The 22,251-nt window shown below is 36.4% G+C and overlaps 1 protein-coding gene across 17 annotated transcripts in view; it reads right to left on the reverse strand.

Moving 5' to 3' along the window:
• Window positions 1–9,960, reverse strand: part of LRRC4C (leucine rich repeat containing 4C) — a 1,345,454-nt gene extending 1,335,494 nt beyond the window's left edge. For all 17 annotated transcript variants that reach the window (XM_017018075.3, XM_017018073.3, XM_017018077.3 and 14 more), the window contains exon 1: window positions 9,739–9,960. The gene's annotated coding sequence lies outside the window, so the exon portion shown is untranslated. The remainder of the gene's footprint in view (window positions 1–9,738) is intronic.
• Between the last annotated feature and the right edge of the window lie 12,291 nt (window positions 9,961–22,251).

Consider the following 22,251-nt stretch of genomic DNA (forward strand, 5'->3'; position numbering starts at 1 on the left):
GCCTCCCCCGACCCCTACCCAGGGATGATAGTAATGACCAAAGATTCAGTCTGAGCAGTTAGTTTCCTCTTGATGGAAAAAAAAAAAAAAAAAGCTTTTTCGCTTCTTTAAGTAGATGTGGTCAGAAGTAGAGCTGACTCTCTTCAAATAGTCTCCCTTTTGCCTTTCCTGGACCCTTATCTTGGATCCAGATTCTAAGCCAAGAAAAATAAACATCCTATGAAACTACCTGGCAAATTTCTAAATGTATTATTGTGAAACTGTCATCCCTCTAGCTTGAGAGAAATAGAAACTGGCTTCTACTCAAAGCAGACAAACTGTCTCTCTCATCTCTGAAAACTAAAAATCTAAAAAGAAAAAATTAGGCTGAATACTAGAAGGTCAGAGAGTGGCCTTTTTGTCAACTCTTCATGGTTGTGTTAAGTGCCATTCCATTCTGAGCTGGCAGTTCTTAGACATGTTTCCCTCTAGAACATAACACTAGAGATGCTTGGACCATCTGTCTGTCCGACAGACCATCTGTACAAGGCACTGGCACCCCTTCCAGAAAATAGAAGAGAAACTGAGGACACTAAATAGGTGAGTCTCTGTGTCTCTGTTTTCTAAGCTCTCTGGCAATAATTGGTAAAAGAGAAAAAGGAGTCCAGGAAAATTGTTTACATTTAAAAAAATGTTATAGCAAAGGTGGAAAATATTTTCATACAAGCAACCACAGAAATATTTAAAAGGTAATAGAAAAAAGTAACTGTTTCTGGCTTTAAGTGTTAGGCAAGCTAATGCACAAACTGAGAGGAATAAAGGCACCAGGGCTTTGTAGACAGACGCAACTAGGCAGACATTCAGGTAGACACTGCTTTTAATGAGTTTTTATCTTGGGCAAATCACAAGTTGTCTATGGCTCAGTTTCCTCATCTGTATCCTGAGAATAATGATGCCCCCTGTATGCAACTATAAAGTTTTTAATATATCATCTGAAATACCATAGAATTAAATGTGTGACAGCTATTGTGTCAATTTTGTGGGTTTTTACAAGGCTCTCTACGGGGCTCCAACCTATATCTTCATTCCTTCCTACCAAATACTTTTTGATGTATTTCCTTACTCTATTAGCACTGATATATGCAAAGTTATAATTTCTTCTAATTTCTCCTCGGAAACATTATCACTGCTTCACAATATACATATTTAAGACAAACCTCAAATTCCCCTTCCTTCTTTAATCTTTCCCAACCACAAATTCCTCAGGGATAACTCTCTTCTCTGAGTTTTACGTGCTGACTTTATTATTTTTTGGTTCTGAATCCTGTGCTGCCTTGTTTAGCAAGTTAATTGCTCCTCTGTCAATATAATGTCAACAATAATATAGGAACACATTTGAGGGAAAAATCGGATTGTTTACAACTTTGTGCTCCACATCATAACTGTGATAGAACAGTGAGTCTAGTAGGTGTTTAATAAACAAATTTTGAATAAATGACACCATCGAAATGACTACAGAAGCAAAAGAATGTACTGTTACCCACAAGAACATTCATTGAGAATTCTGACTGACTTATGCAAAAGTGTTCTTGACCTAAATCCATGACATCGTTCTGAGGTTCAGGAATAGGAATAGGGTTATTTTAAAAACTAAACACCCCCACCCACATAGACATACATAGATATAGATATAGATATAGATTTTGTGTGTGTGTGTGTGTATGTGTATTTATGTATATGGTGCTGGACAAATTAGTCTTGGAGAAAAATATGTATTAGATAGGAAGAACAGAATTCCATTTAGCAAAAGCTTAAAAAAAATGCAGCAGTGCTTATAGTGATGGAAGAGATGAAAATCAAACTTGAAGCAGCACAAACACATCCAGGAGAGTCATGGCAGTGAGGCATGACAGGTCAAGGATAAAGAAAGGGAAAACAGGAAATAGCATCAACCAGATGAACACAGGAAGAAGTTAGGTATTCATGAGCAAAACAGACCTATTTCATGAAAGTGCTGGCAGCCAGGGGAACACTCAGAAAAATTTTAAACTATTTTTATATCTGCTCTTACTTGGGCACTGGAATCAGAACAGGTTGACTGATAATATGTTTAATGCTTAATAGTAGTCCAGGTACCTTGGTAGAGAAAATGACCCTGAGCAAAAGTCACATATAAACATGGCTTTCCTTTTGAAGAAGGGAGAGTAGAGTTTTTTCCTTGTATGTATCTGTATTCAGACTGCTGTCACTATGCATGGTGGATGTCTCCAACAGCAAAAAATTAGCAAACCCATCCACTGTCTGTGTTATTAATCATTTGCTTGTTTTCAGGAAAGAGTATGCCTTTATTAGATTGATTTTTTCCTAAATGTTTTCACTTCACACATATTTTTTACTATGTTATTCAAACATTTGTCTCAACTTATATGGATTATTTTCTTTACTTCTTCCATTTGGAGTATCTACTGGGGTCAAGGTATATATGGTCACAGGTTTTAATTCCAATCATATGGTTGAAAAAATGTACACCCTGCACCATTGTGTGCTTACTTGGCCTTTGTTTCTGTGACTTGTTACCTAAAGCATGAATGTATAAATTGAAAGGACTTACACAAGGAATTGAAATCTCTCATCTTTAAGTAACTTATTATCAAATATTCAACATGCTAATGTGTTTGCTCAATAGATATGTAAAGGAACAGCTAGAACATCAAAAACAGATAAAATATAATTGAATATCTACATTATGTAAAAAAGCTAGAGGATTTTTACAGGGATTAGAGAAAAGTTGGTGTTAAAATTTTCTTTGTTCCTTGACAGTTTTAAGTGGAAGAAAGATTGCTATTTCCTCTCTTTTTCAAGAAAGCTTTCATAATATGACCTTTTCTCTTGTTTACAGCCAAGCAATGAGTTTAATGGCTCACATTTTAGAACCTGACTTTAGAAAGAATTCCCCAGTTTATGAAATTCTGAATTCGTTCTCTTTCTTTCTCTGGTCTCCTTGAATGTTCTGTACCAGTCACTCTTTTTCCATCATGTCCCCCACTGACATCAATATGTTGAAAGATAATTTCCCTCCTCTGTTTTATATTTTTATAAGTAGACAAACAAGAATATTTGCTTCTCTGTTTATTCATGTGCTGGTAATAATTTGTATCGTCTCTGGCACTGCAGAGTACAACAACATTTATACAAACTGAAACTGCTAAGTTATTATCATAATTACTATTACTACTAATGATTATAAGTAAATTTAATTATTATAATAATGAGATACCTTTTACTGAGTACCAATTAAATTCTAATCTCTGTTCTAGATACTTTGTGGGCATTATTTTTCTTAATCTTTTTACAACACTACAAGGTAAGATATGGAAATACAGCTACAAAAGTAACCTTCCCAAAGGTATGTTACTAATGAGACATAACATATTGGGACATGCTACCCATAAAGTAAATTCTGCAAATGCTCCTTAATGTCACTTAAGATTTAGTGTTACAGAGAAGACTTTCATTTCTTTACTTTCCTCTGTGTCCTGTAACTGCAGTACAATCATGCACATGGCATCAGACATTTTAATAAGATTTAAGTAACTGTCAAAGTTAAATAGAGATCTGCCTCAACTTATGGATTCTGCCAAAGACCACAAAAATATGGTACTGATCATGTACTATATTAGGGACCCATTGGTTCAGAGAAGCACCTTTCAGAGGCCCCTTAGAGATACTAACATCACATCTTTCCACTGATAGAGTCGGCCCTATTATGGGAATGTGATTACTTGATTTGCATTTACAGAAGGCTTGCTCTGGACTGTCTATAATTATGTGAAGAAGCATTGGGTTCACATCCTACAAATAAAAGAAACCATGGCATAAAAGAACAGACATGGGCTTTGGAGTGAGTCAGAATTTGGGGCAAATAAATCCTTTGTTTGCCTTATCTGTAGTATGGGAATAATAATGTTACCTTGCTTATTTTGTGTGTATGTGTGTGTGTGTGTGTATGTGTGTTTGTATGTGAGAAGTATAAATAATCTAACATACCTAGCACAGTGCCTGGCACATAGAATACCTTTGCTGACTCTATGAGATAATTGATTATAACATTATATTTTCTTGGTGTGTGTTGGTAATATATTTTGCAGTATATCACAAAAGGAATTTCCTTAGTTCAATGCAAAGCTTCAACCACAAATTCTGATGCTTAAGGCTGTGGTAGAGGCCAATGAACTTGTGTTTGCTGTTTTGACCAATTGACATCCCTCTTTCCTTTCTAACTCTCCTAGAATCAAATTTTATGGCATGAAGCTTTAAAATGCAGGGAGCATGGATCTTGTCTTTCTTCTCACAAAGTCATAAAGCAGACTTCATCCATTCATTTTAAGGATAAAAAGAACCCACAACCTGAAGGACAAAACCCTGTTCTCTCCATGCACAGGGAAAGGCTGACTTTGCAGTACCGAAATACCTGGGTCAAGTGGTACCAGCCGTGCAGTTAGCAAAGCAGAATTGGACTCATCACTGACAGCTCAGCTCAGCTACATTAGTAAGAACAAGGCTTTTTACATCTTTTCTGATATGTTCTTGAACAAAATAAAGGTCACACAGAATGACACAGCCCCACATAGGTCAGATTCTGGCAGAGGAATCTTAATTCTTGTTAACTATCAAGTCAAAATTCCAAGGGGCCGCCTTTAAGACTGCAGCATTCCCTGTCCAAATACAGGAATTGCAGCAAATAGCTATGAGCAGAGAATCCTTCTAATACTCCCCACAGCAATGATTGTAGCGCTTGTTCCTGGTAGGTGCTTAATAAATATGCATCCTTTTATTAACAGTGAACAAAATGAGATTTTAGATAAAGAGCAATATTAACACCTCTTGCTGACATCTGAATTGTGTTTCTGCAACCACATATGGAAAGATGCACGTGACTATTGCTCCTTATATTCGGTATCATTTTGAAAGTTCTGAGTATAAGTGAAATGACATCTGAAAAGGGTACTTAGGCTGCTCCAGAAAAGGGTCTGATGAAGCCATGGTACATGAAATGAGCTAATTTACAGAAATACAGCTTTCAGAATATAGCTTTCTGTCTCCAATTTTATTTGGCACTCAGATTAGTTTTGGGATTTTTACCCCCTGTATAAAAATATAAATACACTGAATTAGTATGGTCTTCCTATTCTTAAACTAGTTGAACAGGAATGAGAGAATATATGTGAGCTACCTAGAGAAGTCCAATTTTGTGTCAAGGATTTTATTAAGTGCTTTATATAAAATTATTCATTCACTCATCACAGAATTGCTTATAACTGATTGTCCCTATTTTACAGATTAGACAGCTAAGGCTTCATGAGATTAGGTATCTGATCTCATTCTATTCAACTACAAAGCCTGTTCTCAATACCATATTCTCTTGCTGTCATAACTTCCAAGTCAGCTTTTTAATTCTGGTCTATCTCTCCACCAAATGCAGCTCACTGTGAAAATCACTGTATGCTGTGCTATTATTATAAATGTATATTTTATTTATATAATTCCCAAGTGTAACTCAAATTCTAATCAACAGCCTCATTGTGGACTGGAGTTATTTGGTGAGTGCAAACTTGCTAGTAGTCTGTGTATGTCCAAGTCTGGGGAAGTCAAGTTTTTCTTACATTTTCTGGATATCCAGAAAATGAGTTCAGGTCATTATACATTTTCTATTTTTCATGAAACTAAAATTATGCCTCATATAGATTGGCTAATAATTTATGCATGTATGCATGCACATGTACATACACACGACACATACACATATTCACAAGTAACTAAGAATGTACCACAAAAATTACTGAAAAGAGTTAGAGTCAACACATTTGGAAAACGCCAAAACTATAACAACATAAATGTTAATCACTAATCATTAAGAATAGACCAGTTCTGCTTAACACTTTAACTTGAAATTATATTGGAGGAATCATTTTATGTCTTGAACAATACATAAAGTCATCATTACTGTAACACATTACATTTCTACATAAGTGTATATTTGTAGATCCTTTTTTCTACAATATTTCATCATAGCCTTCACAACAACACTATGAGTTAAGAATAGTTATTTCCAAATTATATAGGAAGAAATCAAGGTTCCAAGACTTTGAATGACCTACCAACCATTAAGCAATACTTGCAATGTTTGACTGACATCTTCTGATTCTCAATCCAGAGGGTTTTTTTCTTCTAATTTTAACCCCAGCCTCCACCACTCCCCATTTTATCTGTGACTGCTGAGTAGTCCCAAATGGAGATGCAGATAATTGAGTGAGTTGGCTTAATTTATTGCAAAGCCCCTGCTCTATTCACACATCAATTAATCCATCTTTTATTTTGTAATTTATTGGGGTCCCTGAGAGGTTGTTCTGAAGTGATGGAGAACAGTACCAAGGACATACAAATAGCATTTGTCATCAGAGAGTGTATCTTCTTCTTCCAAGATCCTTCATTTTCTGTTGTAGGCTGATGCTCTTAGCCTATTCTTATTAGCCACAGTTTCAGCATCAGCTCAGCTCTTTGAGCTAACATACAGCTCTAGGCTGTTGTAATGACTCAGCAATCAAAATTTCAAGTTCAATCCACCTGATCCTTACCCACCTCCAGGGCCAGAGCTCCAAAAGCTCCTCTCTGCTCTTAAACTTCTTACTAGGTGATGTTCCTGGCTTTTTTTTTTTAAAGGTTCTCAGTAGCTGACTTTCCAGCTGTCAACCCTGTTTGTTACAGAGGGAAAGAGCTATTCATGTGTTAAGTACCCTGGGTCTTAAAAACACAGAAACACACTGGAGAATGTTGGGCCTCCTTGTCTGACTTTAGCAGAGTCCCAGAGAAAGGCCTGACAAATGGAGAAGAAACGGAATGTCCTTTATTCTCCCCAATAAACTCAGAGAAACCCTTCACCAATTCATTCTTTTAAAAATATAACTCTGCATATGTTGCTTCTAGGGAACTTTAGCCTTTTCTTTAGCAGCTGTGACAAGTTACTCCTACTGAAATGGAAAGCTCCCTACCCCCATTTACCTTTCTTTTCTGAATTCTCTAAGCAATGAAACAAACCCTGGTAAACGTCAAAACCCTCTCTACCACAAAATAAAACTGAAAAAGGCATGGATCTGGAGTTGGTTCTGATCAAAAGCTGTTTATCATTGCTCTGGCCTGAGCTGAAAATACAGATGCAAAGTTACAGTTGTGCAAACACCATCAGGAACCCTTGAGATATGGGAGAAATGCTTTGCACATTTCATAAGCTGTAATCAGAAAATCCTGAGTTGGCCCCCACTTCTATTACTAGCCTAAAATAAGTGATCATGAAAGTGTTGCTATCGCTAAAAGATTCACTCATTACAATTATTAAATCTTTAATACACAAAAACCAAGTTGGTATCTTTTGTTGTTGTTGTTGTTTTGTTTTGAGGTAGTATTGAGAATAATCTATGCAATTAATTTTTACCAACACCACACATCTAAATATACCAGTATTTGGTGAGAATATGAATGGGAAAACAGTCAACATTAAATAGCCTCAATGGAGAGAGGTACTAATTTGCCAAATTCCAGAACGACATTTTTAAAGGACCTCTCTCTATTCAGAACAGTCCTAACACTAAATAGATGACCTAAAATGCTGTCCTCTATACCTGGGACTAGTTGCCAAAAGAAACAGGTTAATAAAGGGCTGACCAACTTAAGGAATGCTGATTGTCCAGGCAGAGCTTGGAGAGCCTCCAATACCCTGCCATGACCCATTGGCACTTGGAGTATCAGGATCCTTCTCCTTACAACAGAAACTTCGTGTTTCTTATTCATATATTATTCTCACTTTCAGGTTTTATGAACCTCAGATTGTTTTTTCCATAAAGAAAATAAAATTTTGTTTAGGGTTTCTCCTAGGCTCAAGCCATTTAAAAATTAAAAAAAGAAAACAACAGACCTCCTTTCTAGATAAGAAAAATTTACCTGGACATTACGGGTAACAGATAAAAATATCATGATCATAAATCATTGACATGAAAGACATATTATAAATTATACTGACAGGAGTCTTCCCATGGTAATTTTTACCAAGAGCTCTGCCTGGAGTACCAGGTACAAGGTTGCTCCAGGGGTGGAGGAGGGGCAGCTTCTCACAGTTGTCCTCTTTTACCTACTTCTCTAAAATCATCATGCAAAAAATATTAGATAGATGAAAGGCTAGGATAGCCTAGGGTAATACCAGAGTATAATCTCTTCTTTAAGTTTTTTGTTTGTTTGTTTGTTTGCTTGTTTTCTTTTTGTAACTCCTTTTTTTAAAAACAAATATATATATATAATCAACGTTTTGAGTATGATGCCTGACATCTCTCAACTTGGGTGCTCTCATAAATCTTTGACCCAGGCAACGTAGCCTCTGAATAAATCTATTATGTTACAATTTGCATCTTCTTTCTATACATAGACATCAACAGCTGGAGAGAATCACTTAGGTATGCTCTTCTCTACCTAGTTAACACACCTGTCATCTCTTCCATGAACGTGTCCACAGTAACAGTTCAAGTTGGCTAACAGTCCATGAACTAACACTATTCTCTTAAGGATAAACCATCCACATGCACTGGCAGATGAAGAGTAAGATTCTGTTGCCTTCATGTGAGGTCTCAGCATTTTAGAAACCTATTTACAAGTGATTCTTACTCCTGGGGTGAAGCTAATTGATGCCAATGCAGAGATAAAAATACTAAAAGACACAGGAACACAGACGTTATCACAATGAAATGATATTTTGCTTTAATTAAATAACTTTGGGATTGAAACAGGTAAAATATTGTCTGCGTTTCACTTTGAAGGAAAAGCGTGGTGGGGGGGAGGGGGGCGGGTGAAGAAAGGCACAGTTAACTACCAGGAAACTAAAGAGACTGAGTTAGGCAAGATGTTTGACTAAAGTCACCTGAATTCCTCATGCCACTTGCTTTTACAGCCAAGAATAGACAATTAAGAGCAATTTTCAAGCACATTCCCTTCTCGGGGGACCATGTAGGGTAAGAGGATGTTCCAAAATGAGCGACACTAGTCTTAATCAGGGGACACTGCATTCCAAAAGGTTAATGAGATGCAATAGCGAGAGAATCAGTGCAAAAAGAGAGAGGTTCAAAATACTAAACAATTTCCACTTTGTTCTCATTTGCTCCAATTAAGAGCTGGTGAAGCAGCTTTTCTGTATTCCACGCATTCGCTACTCTCTAGAGCAGATATAACTATTCAAGAAGAAAAAAATAGAGCTATGGGGAGGGGGAAGTCTACTATTAAGTTATCGTGAAAGTCCGGATTACATCCCCACCTCCCCAGCCCCCAGTCTCTGAGCAGATACACTTTGCCTCTAACTCAGAGCCTCTGCCAGTCGCTTTTCTGATTAATGTTTTTCCTCAAATTTAGAGAGTATTGCAAGGCAGGAGAAAGGCGGAATTATTTTTTTCCATATTTCATATATTCAGAATTCCCTGTGAAAATGTTAGATAAACAAGAGAGGTACAAAAATGGTAAGAGGAATGGGGGGATGGTTATACAAATGGAAATAACCTCCTTGGCATAAAAAATAGCCCCAAAATGCCACACACTGAGTTCTTCTGAGCATTCCAATCTCTAAAAATGAGCATATAAACTGCATATACATTTCCGAAAACAAGCAGGAAAACACAAACATTGCAAGACAACAAGAACTGAGATCTGAGGAGTCCCGTGACTTACCTTCTTTATGGATCCTCAAAGTTCACCAAGGAAAATTTACAATCCTCTAGCTTGCCGTGCACTACTCTATTTTCTTTTCTTCTTTTTATTTTTTTTTAAGTCATATCGGAGAAAAATAATCAGTTTTCAAAGGTTCCATGTATCTGATCTTCCAGCACCAGCAAAAACGTGTCCAAGAGACTCCGCCAAAAAGTAAGCCAAAAACTCATCAAAGGCAAAAGCAGAAGGGGGAGTAGGGAAGCAAGGAGGTGGCGAAAGGCGGGGGGTGGGGGCTACAGACAGTGAGCCCAAGTGCCTAGAGAATATTGTCACGTTGTTGAAATCTCCTACTGTACGAAATACCTGCTTTGGTTGTCACACTAACACATACACACACACGGACACTCACACATTCTCTTTCATGCAAAGCAGGCACCCACACTCACAAACACACACAAACACACGCACTCACACAAACCAGTGTAATGAAAACTGTCAGTAGTAACCTCCAAGAGCTGCTGTGTGCTGCAGATGGTACGGCTCGCTGTTACCTTCCCAGATCTGTGAAGGATCAAATGAACATCCAAAATCAGGGGGGCCCCAGGACTAGGTAGATTCCGGATCCCTCTCCCCCAGGCAGATGCATCAAGCCAGTAGCAGGTCAATCAGCAGAGGTGTCTGCTTGCAGGGTGCCCCGGATTATGGCAAGGTTATTAATCTCGAAGTGCTGCATCCCCCCACCCCCAACATTCGGCAGCCTGCATTGAGATGATTGCCAGAGCTGTGTCTGTCCCTGTTCTACTGCATTTGCTCAGCCCTCTGATGCTGCAAGTGAGACACGGTGGAGGCAAGAATACTAATAAGGTGGTTAGCTACAGTTTCTTCAAGGCAGTCGGCATGCAGTACAGTAAATGTGTACTTCCCAGTGCTCCGTGTGTGAGCCTGCGTGTCTGCAGGGAGGGCAGTGAATCCATCTCCGGCCAGAAGACGAAATGTTTTGTATCCTGCCTGGGAGAACTATATCATCATCGGAATCATCACTGTCCTGCAACGGCGTTGTCTGTGACAGTATTTTGCTTGGGATAAAGAAGGGGGGTTAATGGTTTAGAAGCCTAGAACTGGCATTTAAAAGAGAAAAAAAAAAAATGTCTGGGGAGACAAATTAGCTTTATAAATAGGATCCAAGGAGACCGAGGAAAATTTTAACATGCTGCTTCCCTGGCTGTTAAATGGAAATACAAAGCAATTTCAAAAACCAGCTCCAGACTATAAAGCTTGGAGCTGGCAACAAGTATCTGAATTTGACTGATGGGACTATAGATAAATGGATTCCTGGTAATATAAAAAGTTTGCTCATGCATTCTGCTTCACAGCCATGGATCCGATGTATATAGCAATTTAGGTACAGTTCATTCATTTTTAAACATGAATTTAGACTTGACACCTGCACAGTTTTACTTTAATGTACACTTTTAAATCACATAGCTATGAAATTGTAGAGAACATCTGTGTGGGACAGTGTCACTAGAGGGATTGGTTGACAATTGTCCATCGTAAGCATTATAATATATAACATTTTTGCCTGAAACGAGCTTAAAGTTTTCAGAAAAAAAGTATACATCTCTTTTAGTACCAAGCAATGAAATTAAAATACATGTGTAATATGCTAAATAAGTTATCAGCCTCTAGAGGGCTAAATTTTCTGCTTCTATGATTCAGTTTCATATTAAAATACCTTTTCATTAGTTCAGAACACTCACTATATTCTTTAAGTTGAATTAAATTGCTATTATCTGGAAAAGTATTGGACAGTTGGAGAAGGTAGATAAAGGTGAGTTATAGTGCAGTGTAATACCAGGTATTGCCAGCAGATGTCACAAAAGAAAACACAGGTAAAATAATTCTTCCAAGAACGGCAAGAATTTAATCTTATTTAGTAAACACAGATCTTAATAAAATTGATGGGACTAATATGAAAAAATTGAATTTTTACAAAATTTTAAGGTGCAAAGAAGAACTTAGAGAATAACTTACATTTTATATTTTTCCAAATATCCCTCTCAAATCACCATTTTTCATAACTCTGGTAGATTTTCTATGATTAATATTGGAAAAAACACTGTGCCACTAACTAAGATTAGACTTGCATATAATACTATTTCTATTAGTGATTTTATTTTGTTCTATAAAGTATAGCATCAACATATTGTATGTAATATAGCAGCTACTAGATTAAACTACAAAACAGTTTGTAAATTGGATGAATACAATTAGTCTATAAAAATTAGTTTGAAAGAATTATTCATGTTTAGGAGTCAAACATTAAAAAAGGCAACACATATGTAGAATGTACAAAGACTCTTGACTGGTCTTTATCAATTCTATTTATGTTAATGTGTGAAATGTTTAAAAGACTCTAGCATGTCATCTTAGCCTTCAGTTACTTAAATATAACTAATGGGTACATACCACCTCGCAGCACTAATTGGCAAAATTGTCAGTAAAATGTAGTGTTAAAAACTGGCCTTTGGAATTTAGATAGATCTAGGTTCAAATTTTAATTTTTCCTTATATAGGGTGATTAGTCTCTACAAGTCATACATCTTTGTCTTTTATTGGGGTGGGGGTGCACTTTGTCTCTCTCTCTTTTTTTTTATATTTTTAATTTTAAAAAAATGTCTTTGAAATCAGGTTGCTATGTCACTTGAAAGCAGGACACTAATATGTACCCAGTAGGATTATTGTTAAGACTGGAATGAATTAATATTTATTATGTGCTTACCATATCTCCTGACACATAGTAAGTGATCTATCAGTGCTACAAATGTCTTATAAATAAAGTAGATACTTGATTTGTACTATGTGTCTGGCTTTGTGGACCACCAAGTTAAAGAAGATAAATGATTTAATCAATCCTTTCGGTGTTGAAGATGTGTTTTTAAATTTATTTTTACAAAGAGTTGGTTTGATCTTGTTTTTGTAAACCTATAGTTATGTAACATTTGCCACTTTTTAAAAGTTTATTATATGCATCCCAGTCAGCCCTCTGTATCCATGGTCCCACATTCATAAAATATTTTTTAAAAATAACGATGCAATAATAAAAAGAATACAAATTTTAAAAAGCAATATAACAAGTATTTACATAGTATTTACATTGTATTAGGCATTATAAGTTATGTAGAGATGATTTATGAAGGATGTGCATAAGTTATATGCAAATACTACACCATTTGATATAAGGTATTTGAGCAATCATGGATTTTGATACACAGAGGGGTCCTGGAACCAATTCCCCATGAATACCTAGGAATGACTGTATATGCATTCTTGCTTTATATATGTGTCCTAAGACTCAACAGGAAAGGGAAATCACTTTCTTGATTGTATGATATCTTGACTCAAACAGGATATTTGGAAGGAAGTTTAATAGCAAACACTCCTTCCTCACCAAGACTTACTTTGAAGCCAATAGTGTCACCAAACACTAAGGTATTGGTATTTAAAAAAGACCTCTGTGCTTATTTTATGTCCCCCCAAATTTATATGTTGAAGCCCTAATCCCTAATGCTATGATATTTGGAAGTGGGGTGATGAGATTCAAGAAAAACTATTCCAAAATATGTCACTTCGACATTTAAGAAAATGACAGAAGCAGAAAGGTCACTCTCGCTTTCCTCTTCCCTTCTCCCCTGAAACTGGCCATAAAATCTAGCTAGTCTTACTAAAGTAAGGTCATAAAACCTTTGTTTCAGCAGGGCCCTCCCCATACGCTGAAAAAAGAGAAATTCTTGTCCTTGCAAACACAGAGATGCCAAGAAGAATCTGAACAAATGGGCCTCACTAAGTTCTCTCCAATTTATTACCTTTAAATCTTACCATTTTCTCTAATTGTTCTTCTATATGACTGTATACCATTCATCAAATATAAGCATAAATATACATAAATTTCCGTCTATTTGGGTCTTCATTTCTGAAGGATCCCATGTCACCTGAAACGTATTAAATACATTTGTATGTTTTCATCTTGTTAATCTTTTATTTGATATAAGGACCTCAGCCATAAACTTTGTGATGAGGGGGGAAAAGATACTACTTTTTCTTTCCTACAAGGGCCTTTGGGAGTTAATTAGGTCATGAGGGTGGAGCCCTCTTAAGTAGGATTAGTGCCCTCTTAATAAGAGATGTGAGAGAGAAAATCTCTCTCTTTGCCATGTTAGAATGCAACAAGAAGGTGTCAATTCATAAACCAGGAAGAGAACCTGGTTTTTCATTTGGCCTCTTGTTTATACCATGGTTTATTTATAAGTGTGTTATTTAATTTCCAAATATTTGGGAATTTTCCATTTATCTTTCTGTTATGGATTTCTCATATTAATTCCATTGTGATCAGAGATCACTCTTTGTATGAATTGATTTCTGTTAAATTTATTAAGATTTGCCTTGTGACCCAAAATATGGCATAACTTGGTAAATGTTCCTTGTGGTCTTAAATATAATGTATGTTCCGCTGTGGTTAAGTGAAGCAGTCTATAAATGTCAATTACAACAAGTTGGTGGGTAATGTGGTTTAGTGTCTCTATACTCTTAAATGATTTTCTATCACTATATTATCAAAATCCTTCACTGTAATTGTAGATTTATCAGTTTTACCTGGTTTTGAAGCTCTGTTACTAGACACATATATGTTGAGGATTAAATACTCATTATGAAATCATTATGAAATGACCTTCTTTTTCACCAGTAATTTTTTTAACAAAATTTACTTTATCTGGCATTGATTCAGCCACATCAATTTTTTTTGGATTACTAGTAGCAGCCTATCTCTTTTTGCATCTTTTTACTTTCAACCTATGTGCACCTTTATTTAAAGTTTCTTTTGATCAATGTATAGTTATGTCTTACTTTTTTACACAATATTACAATACCTGATAATTAGGAATGATTAGATCATTTGAGTTTGTTGTAATTACTGATAAAGCTGGATTGAAATCTGCTGTCCAGCCACTTCTGCTTATGTGTTTGACCTACCCTTTGTTTACTTCTTTTTCTACTTTTGTTAGGATTGAATATTTTTAAAATGTCATTTCATCTCATTCATTGGTTTATTTGGTGGTTTCCTTCCTTCCTTCCTTCTTTTTTTTTTTTTTTTTTTTTTTTTTTTTGACATACTCCCAGGCTGGAGTGCAGTGGCATTATCTCAGCTCACGGCAACCTTTTACCTCCTGAGTTCAAGTAATTCTTGTGCCTCAGCCACCCAAGTAGCTGAAATTACAGGCCATCAAACCCGGCTAATTTTTGTATTTTTAGTAGAGACAGGGTTTTACCATGTTGGCCAAGCTGGTCTCGAACGCTTGACCTCAAGTGATCCACCCGCCTCGGCCTCCCAAAGTGCTGGGATTACAGGAGTGAGTCACCGCATCAGGCCTATTCTTTTCTTTCTTTAGGGGGGAAGGTTGCTGTAGGATTTACAGTATATACCTTTAAGTTATAGCCTACCTTCCAGTAATATAATACCATTTCATGTAGAATGTAAGTATGCAACAATATTTATCAAGTTCCCCTCTTCCAGACTTTGTGTATTATTGTCATATGTCTTACTTCCACATTTGTTATGAACCCAATAGTATATTGATATTATTTTTCTTTAGTCGTATGCCTTACTTCCACATTTGTTATGAACCCAATAATATATTGATATTATTTCTCTTTAGTCAATTGACCTTTTAAGATGACTTAAAAATAAGAAAAAGAATTGATATTTACTGACATATCATTATTACAATTCCCTATGTTCTTCATTCATAGCTATACATATAGATTCCATCTGTTATCATGTTTCTTCTAGCTGAAGGACCTCCTTTAACATACTTTGGAACTGCTGGTGATGAATTTTTTCAGCTTTTGTGTGTCTGAAAAAGTTTTGGTCCATTGTCTTCTTGCTTCCATTATTAAAAAAAAAAAAAAGGCTGGGTGCAGCGTAATCCCAACACTTTGGGATCCTGAGGCAGGTGGATCACGAGGTCAGGAGTTTGAGACTAGCTTGGCAAACATGGTGAAACTCCGACTCTATCTGCTACTGTTCCTCTGTACATAATGGTTCTTTTTACACTGAGGATGTTTTGATTTTTTTTCTTTTTCTCTGCATTTTTTAAGTAATTTAATGATGCTTTCTGCAGGTTTATATTACTTAGATTTTAATGAGCTTCCTGAATCTTTGAGTTTATAATTTCTATCAACATTTAAAAAAATTTAGACATTATTTCTTCATATCATTTACCTGTCCCTATTCCGTGTTTTTGATGACTGCAATTTACATGCATAGTAGGCAGCTTATTACTTAATGTTGTCTTACATCTCACTGATAATCTCTTGTCTTTTTCATGTCTTTTTCTGTTTCATTTTAGATATTTTCTATTGCTAAATCTTTAAATACATTTATCTTTTCTGTGGTATTAACAAATATGCTATTGATTTCATTGTGCATATTTTAAAACTCAATTTTTTGTTTGTTTGTTTTTTGAGACGGAGTCTGTCACCCAGGCTGGAGTGCAATGGCAAGATCTCCGCGCACTGCAACCTCCGCCTCCTGGGTTCAAGGGATTCTCCTGCCTCAGACTCCTGAGTAGCTGGGATTACAGGTATGTGCCACCTCGCCCAGCTAATTTTGTATTTTTAGTAGAGACAGGGTTTCTCCATGTTGGTCAGGCTGGTCTTGAACTCCCGACCTCAGGTGATCTGCCTGCCTTGGCCTCCCAAAGTGCTGGGATTACAGGCATGAGCCACAACGCCTGGCTAAATCTCAAATATTACAGTTTTCATCTACAGGAGATTATTTTGGATCTTTAAGTCTTCCATTCCTCTCTTTAACTTATTTAAGTTTTCATCTTCTTTCTTGAAAACACAAAACATATTTATATAGTTTAATGTTCTTCTCTACTAAATCTTTCATCTCCATTATTTCTCAATTGGTTGTAGTTAATTATCTTTCCCTGTCACTGTGGGTTATAAATTATTATTTCTAAGCATGTCTGATAATTCTTGTTGTATGTCAACAATTTTTAATTTTGTTATTGGATGCCGAATTTTTTTTTTTTTTTTTTTTTGAGATGGAGTCTCACTCTATCACCCAGGCTGGAATGCAGTGGTGCAATCTCAGCTTACTGCAACCTCCACCTCCCTGGTTCAAGCAATCCCCCGCCTCAGCCTCCCAAGTAGCTGGGATTACAGGTGCATGCCACCATGTTCGGATAATTTTTTTTTTTTTTTTGTATTTTTAGTAGAGACGGGGTTTCACCATGTTGGCCAGATCAAAATATGATTATTAGAGTTTGTTCTAGAACACAGTTATTTGGAAGAACTTTGAGCTTTCTAATTGTTTGAATTCAAGCTTTGTTAGGCAAGACCAGAGAAGCCTTAGTCTAAGGCTAATGTTCCCCCACTACTGAGGCAATGCCCCGCTGCATATTCTACCTGATGCTCATGTCTTATGAAGTTTTTCCTCTCTGACTGGTGGGAACATAAAATATTTCTGGCTTCTTGTGATCTTTTGGAATTGTTCCTCTTGCTTTCTTAGGTAGTTATTTCCCCAGTACTGGTAGTTTCCTCTCCCTCATCCTCTGATTAGTCCTCTGATGAAGACTAACATGAAGACTAATTCTGCAGATCATAAGAGCTTTCTCACTCCACAGTGTACTCCTTTTGGTACTCTGTCCTATGAACTCTAGCTGGATGGGCCACAACAGACTCCAGCCTCTATTGCTTCCACTCAGGGAGACTCTGGGACCCACCTAAGGTCTCCCTCCTTACCATACAGCCTGGAAACTGTCTCCAACAGTAAACTGGGGCAATCACAGGGCTTACCTCATTTGTTTCCCTAACCTCAGGGTTTAGTATTCAATGCTGACTTTTGTCCAGTGGAATTGCACTTTCAAACACTTTGTTCAATTTGTTGTAGTTTTTTAAAGGGTGAGAATGGGTCTGTTCCCTGTTATTCTGGTTTGGTTGGAAACAGAAGTCTCTAGTTATCCATTCAAACAAAAATTGATATCACAACCGAATTTATTGTTTGTTTATTTATTTTTGAGACTGCATCTCACTCTGTTGCCCAGGCTGGAGTGCAGGGGCATGATCCCAGTTCACTTCAGACTCCACTTCCTGGGCTCAGGTGATACTCCCATCTCAACCTCCTGAGTAGCTTGGACTACAGGTGTGCACCACCACATCTGGCTAGTATTTGTTTTTTTGTTTGTTTTTTTTTTCTTGTAGAGATGGGGTTTTACTATGTTGCCCAGGTTGATCTCTAACTCTTGGGCTCAAGCAATCTGCCAGCCTTGGCCTCCCAAAGTGTTAGGATTATAAGCGTGAACCACCGTGCCCAGCCCACAATCTATTTTATACAAGTTACAATTCATTTAGCTGGAGCACAGTGTTGAAACAAACAGACCACATTTTTACAATCATGTGGTCTCCATTCTAGTGGAGTCTTATAGTTAGTAAATCAGATAAGCAAATATGCATAAAAATATCTTAGGGGGTTTAAGAGTTGTGAATAAAATAGAAGATGTTACATGATTGATATGGTTTGGCTGTGTCCCCACCCAAATCTCGAATTGTAGTCCCATAATTCCTCTCTGTCGTGAAAGAGTGGTTTATTACCTGGTGGGAGGTAATAAAATCATGGGGGCGGGTCTTTCCCATTCTCTTCTTGTGGTAGTGGATAAGTCTCATGAGATCTGATGGTTTTATAAAGGGAAGTTCCCCTGCACATGCTCTCTCTCTTGCCTGCTACCATGTAAGATGTGACTTTGATCCTCACTAACCTTCTGCCATGATTGTGAGGCCTCCCCAACCATGAGGAACTGTGAGTCAATCCAAACCCTTTCCCTTATAAATACCCAGTCTGGGGTATGTCTTTATTAGCAACGTGCGAACAGACTAATACAGTGATAGAGAATAACAGAATAGTCTATTTTAGTTAGGTTGATTAACAAATCTCTCAAGGGTTGGCATATGAATATCTATGATGAAAAACTAGCCATGAAAAGACCTGGAATAAGTACATTTGAGGCAGAGGGAAGTGCAAACATGAAGGACTGAAGTCAGAAACAAAGCTTTTCCCACCAAGAAGGAGGATTTGATGCTAGATAGTAGTCTTCTATACATTTCTGTCTCCATTATGTGGTATGGAGAGGCAAAATATAAAAGCTCAGTAACATGGTTTATTGTTAATCATGGATGAAAGTCCAAAGCAAACATTTGACACTATAGAGATTACTTTTAATAACTCCACCAACTTAACATGAGGCTAGAAAACTGAATAAAGTTTTTAAAATCCTTTTCTGTTATAATCAGTCAGGGTAAACCAGTTTTTGTTTTAGTAACAAAAACAATAACAATAACAAAATCCAACCAAACAATCAAAACAATTTCTTGTTAACACAGATTCATCAGACCTTAACCTACATTGGAGTTAACAGTTGATAAAAGGGCTCAATTCATTGTAGTTACTTAGGATCTCAGGGTGACAAAAGTTCACCTTGACTGATGCTTTCATAATCATTTTCTAATGGACAAGAATATATGGCAAGTAACACACTGTATTCAAAAGTTTCAAGAAATGATTCATATTGTTTCCACTCATATTATGTTTATAAAAACATATTAATATAGCACACCTAACTTTGAAAGGGTAGAGAAGGATGGGCATGGTGGTTCATGCCTGTAATCCCAACAATTTGTGGGGCATAAGTGCATAGGTTTCTTGAGCCCAGGAGTTTGAGACCAGCCTGGCTAACATGGTGAAATCCCATCTCTACAAAAAATACAAAATTAGCTAGGTATGGTGGTGTGAACCTGTGGTCCCAGCTAGGTGGGAGAATAAGGTGAGATCACCTGAGCTCAGGTAGGTCTAGGCTGTAGTGAGCAATGACCATTCCACTGCACTCCAGCCTGGGCAACAGAGTGTGACTCTGTCTCAAAAAAAAAAAAAAAAAAAAAAGTAGAAAAGAAGAAAGAGTAGGGAAGCGCAATTCTACCGTGTGTGGAAAGCAGACAGAAAGAAATATTTTATTATATTGCTAATGAAGGCCACACCCTCTATCAAGGAATCTGTATATTCATGCCTCAAATAAAACTAGAAATTTTCCCTTATTTAATCAAATTCAGTATGAAAGCACTATTCATGGAATAGAAGATCAAGTATTAGGCACACACTCACTTATATTCTGAATTTTCTTTACTGTCTTCGAATTCCAATCAGTAAAGCTTTTTTTTTCCTATAAGAAAGATAATTTAAAAGTGGTAACTTACTCCAAGAAAAGTTTCAGCAGCTTTGAGAACAAAGTTCTACATTTAAAAGCTATCTCTTACTTTGAGAAGCAACCTTTACAAGAAGGCAGTATTAAAAAGTTTCAGGATTCTATTGTAAATTGAACTGCTTCCATGAGAATACCCATCTGAGAGAAAAGACAAAATGGATCTGGGGAATAATTAAAAACTGAAGTAGACAAAAAAATGTCATTTTCCCTAGTACTGTCTCCAACTACTACAGTCCAGGGTAACTTCACGTTTACTTCTCCTCAAGAAAGAAAGAAAAAGAAAAAATATATGCACTTAAATCCAGGAACCTAGCTATGATGTTAGGAACTTTTATGTATGTAGATAATGGCATTTTTTAGCTTTCCTGTGTTTTGATTATATATATATATATATATGTATATATACACACATATATATATTTCATTTATATATTCATTTTATATATAAAATATTCATTTATATGTATAAATATATATGCATATATATATGAATATATATAAAAGAATATATAAATAAACATATATATATATATTCTTCCTAGAATGATGGTTATTTCTCATCTGGGAGAACCCTCCACCATCTACCCTCCTCAGACCACTCCAGGCCTTGGGTAGTTGTCTTACATCAGGTTTTTCAAGGCTGTAGAGAGTAACGTATGCTTTTTCTTGGCATTCTTTTCATTGGATCTCATTTTGTAGCTTCTCCTTACCATAAGAAAGGGGCCAAATAAATCCTTTCATTTGACTCAATTGAGAAGTTTGGCCAAATGAGTACAAGTAGATAACAAGCATCTTACAAAGTCTAACTCTTACAATTACATGCACCAAGGCTTGGGGAGATTACTCAAGGTTTTTGACATCAAATACTAGTAATTTTAAACAGGGAGTTCAATGTTCTTAGAGATTTTCATGCAGTTACTTCTAATTCAAAAGCACAACATAAGTTGAAGTTGTGTCAGATGAGGGAAGTGGGAGAGCTTTTGGTCTTCATCAGTATCATGAATATTAGATATGAATTCTAATTTAATTATACTTCTGGCTCTTTCTTTGATAATTCAAATAGCCCTGTCATGTTGAACCAATAAAAGTACATATGCTAATATATAACTTCATGAGCTACGATAAACCAGTAGGAAATATTTGCCTTTGCCTCAAGAAGATTGAGTTATGTCTGCGTACACACAAACACAAACTTTTGCATCCACCCATATAAGAAGAGGTTCATTCTTCTATATAACCATGAACACTCATAGGGAATGGTGCTCATTACTTTGGTAATGCTCATTCAGTCACCTTCCATCAAATGCAGTTTCCAGAAGAATATGTAAATTATATTGTATTGTCCTTCACTTTCAGCTTCAAAACTAGTGCTTGTGAAAAACTGTGATGGCTTGAATGACTCAAGGTCTGTACACCACAAAAGTGTACTTTTCGTCCTGGTGAGGAGAAAAAGCCTCTTCTGTATGGCTTCCTTGATCATCCTGTGGTGTGACTGTGGAAATAATTTGGGGCACCTTTTATCTGCCTTTGTTTTGTCCAGACAATTAGCTAGGCAACTGTTTTCCCTCAGCTAATTCTAAAGACTCCATCCGATCTTATGCTCCAAAAGCTTATTACTGACAAAACCTTTTCTTCCAAGGTCAATTTTTGGTGCTATGATTGCCATCTTCCCATTATATTTAAGTGATAGAAAGGTAGATTTTTCTTATCAAAATTTAGCCAATAATTTCTACTGGAAGTATAAAGCATTTAGAATTCTCTGTGATATAGTAGAACAAGAAATTCTAAGCATACCACTGCTTTTGGGGACATTTCAAACTAAAGAGGAATTGGAAAAAAATTTCACAGGTTAGAATATGTGATTTTCACATAGTTTTGGTGTTAATGTTTGAAAAATCTGAGAAAAGATCCCCCACACATACACACCCTCAACAGGTATAAGTAGCTAAGTCTCCATCAGTTACAAATAATATCCTCTATCAACGTTATATTTTTTATGCCAGAACAATTTCTCACTGGTTTGGTTATTTTGAGGCTTTTTATAAGTATGAGTATAAGCCAACTGAGTCATTATATTTATATGATCATTAAACTAGGAGTCTCTAAGGGTGAATAGCTGTGAGACACTAGGCAAATCTCTCTCATTTCCTTATCAAAAGCTAACTGCCTGTAATGAACTATTTACATCACAGGCTTATGGTAGGAATCAAATATG

Source organism: Homo sapiens, chromosome 11, assembly GCF_000001405.40.
Source record: "Homo sapiens chromosome 11, GRCh38.p14 Primary Assembly".
Taxonomy (NCBI): Eukaryota; Metazoa; Chordata; class Mammalia; order Primates; family Hominidae; genus Homo; species Homo sapiens.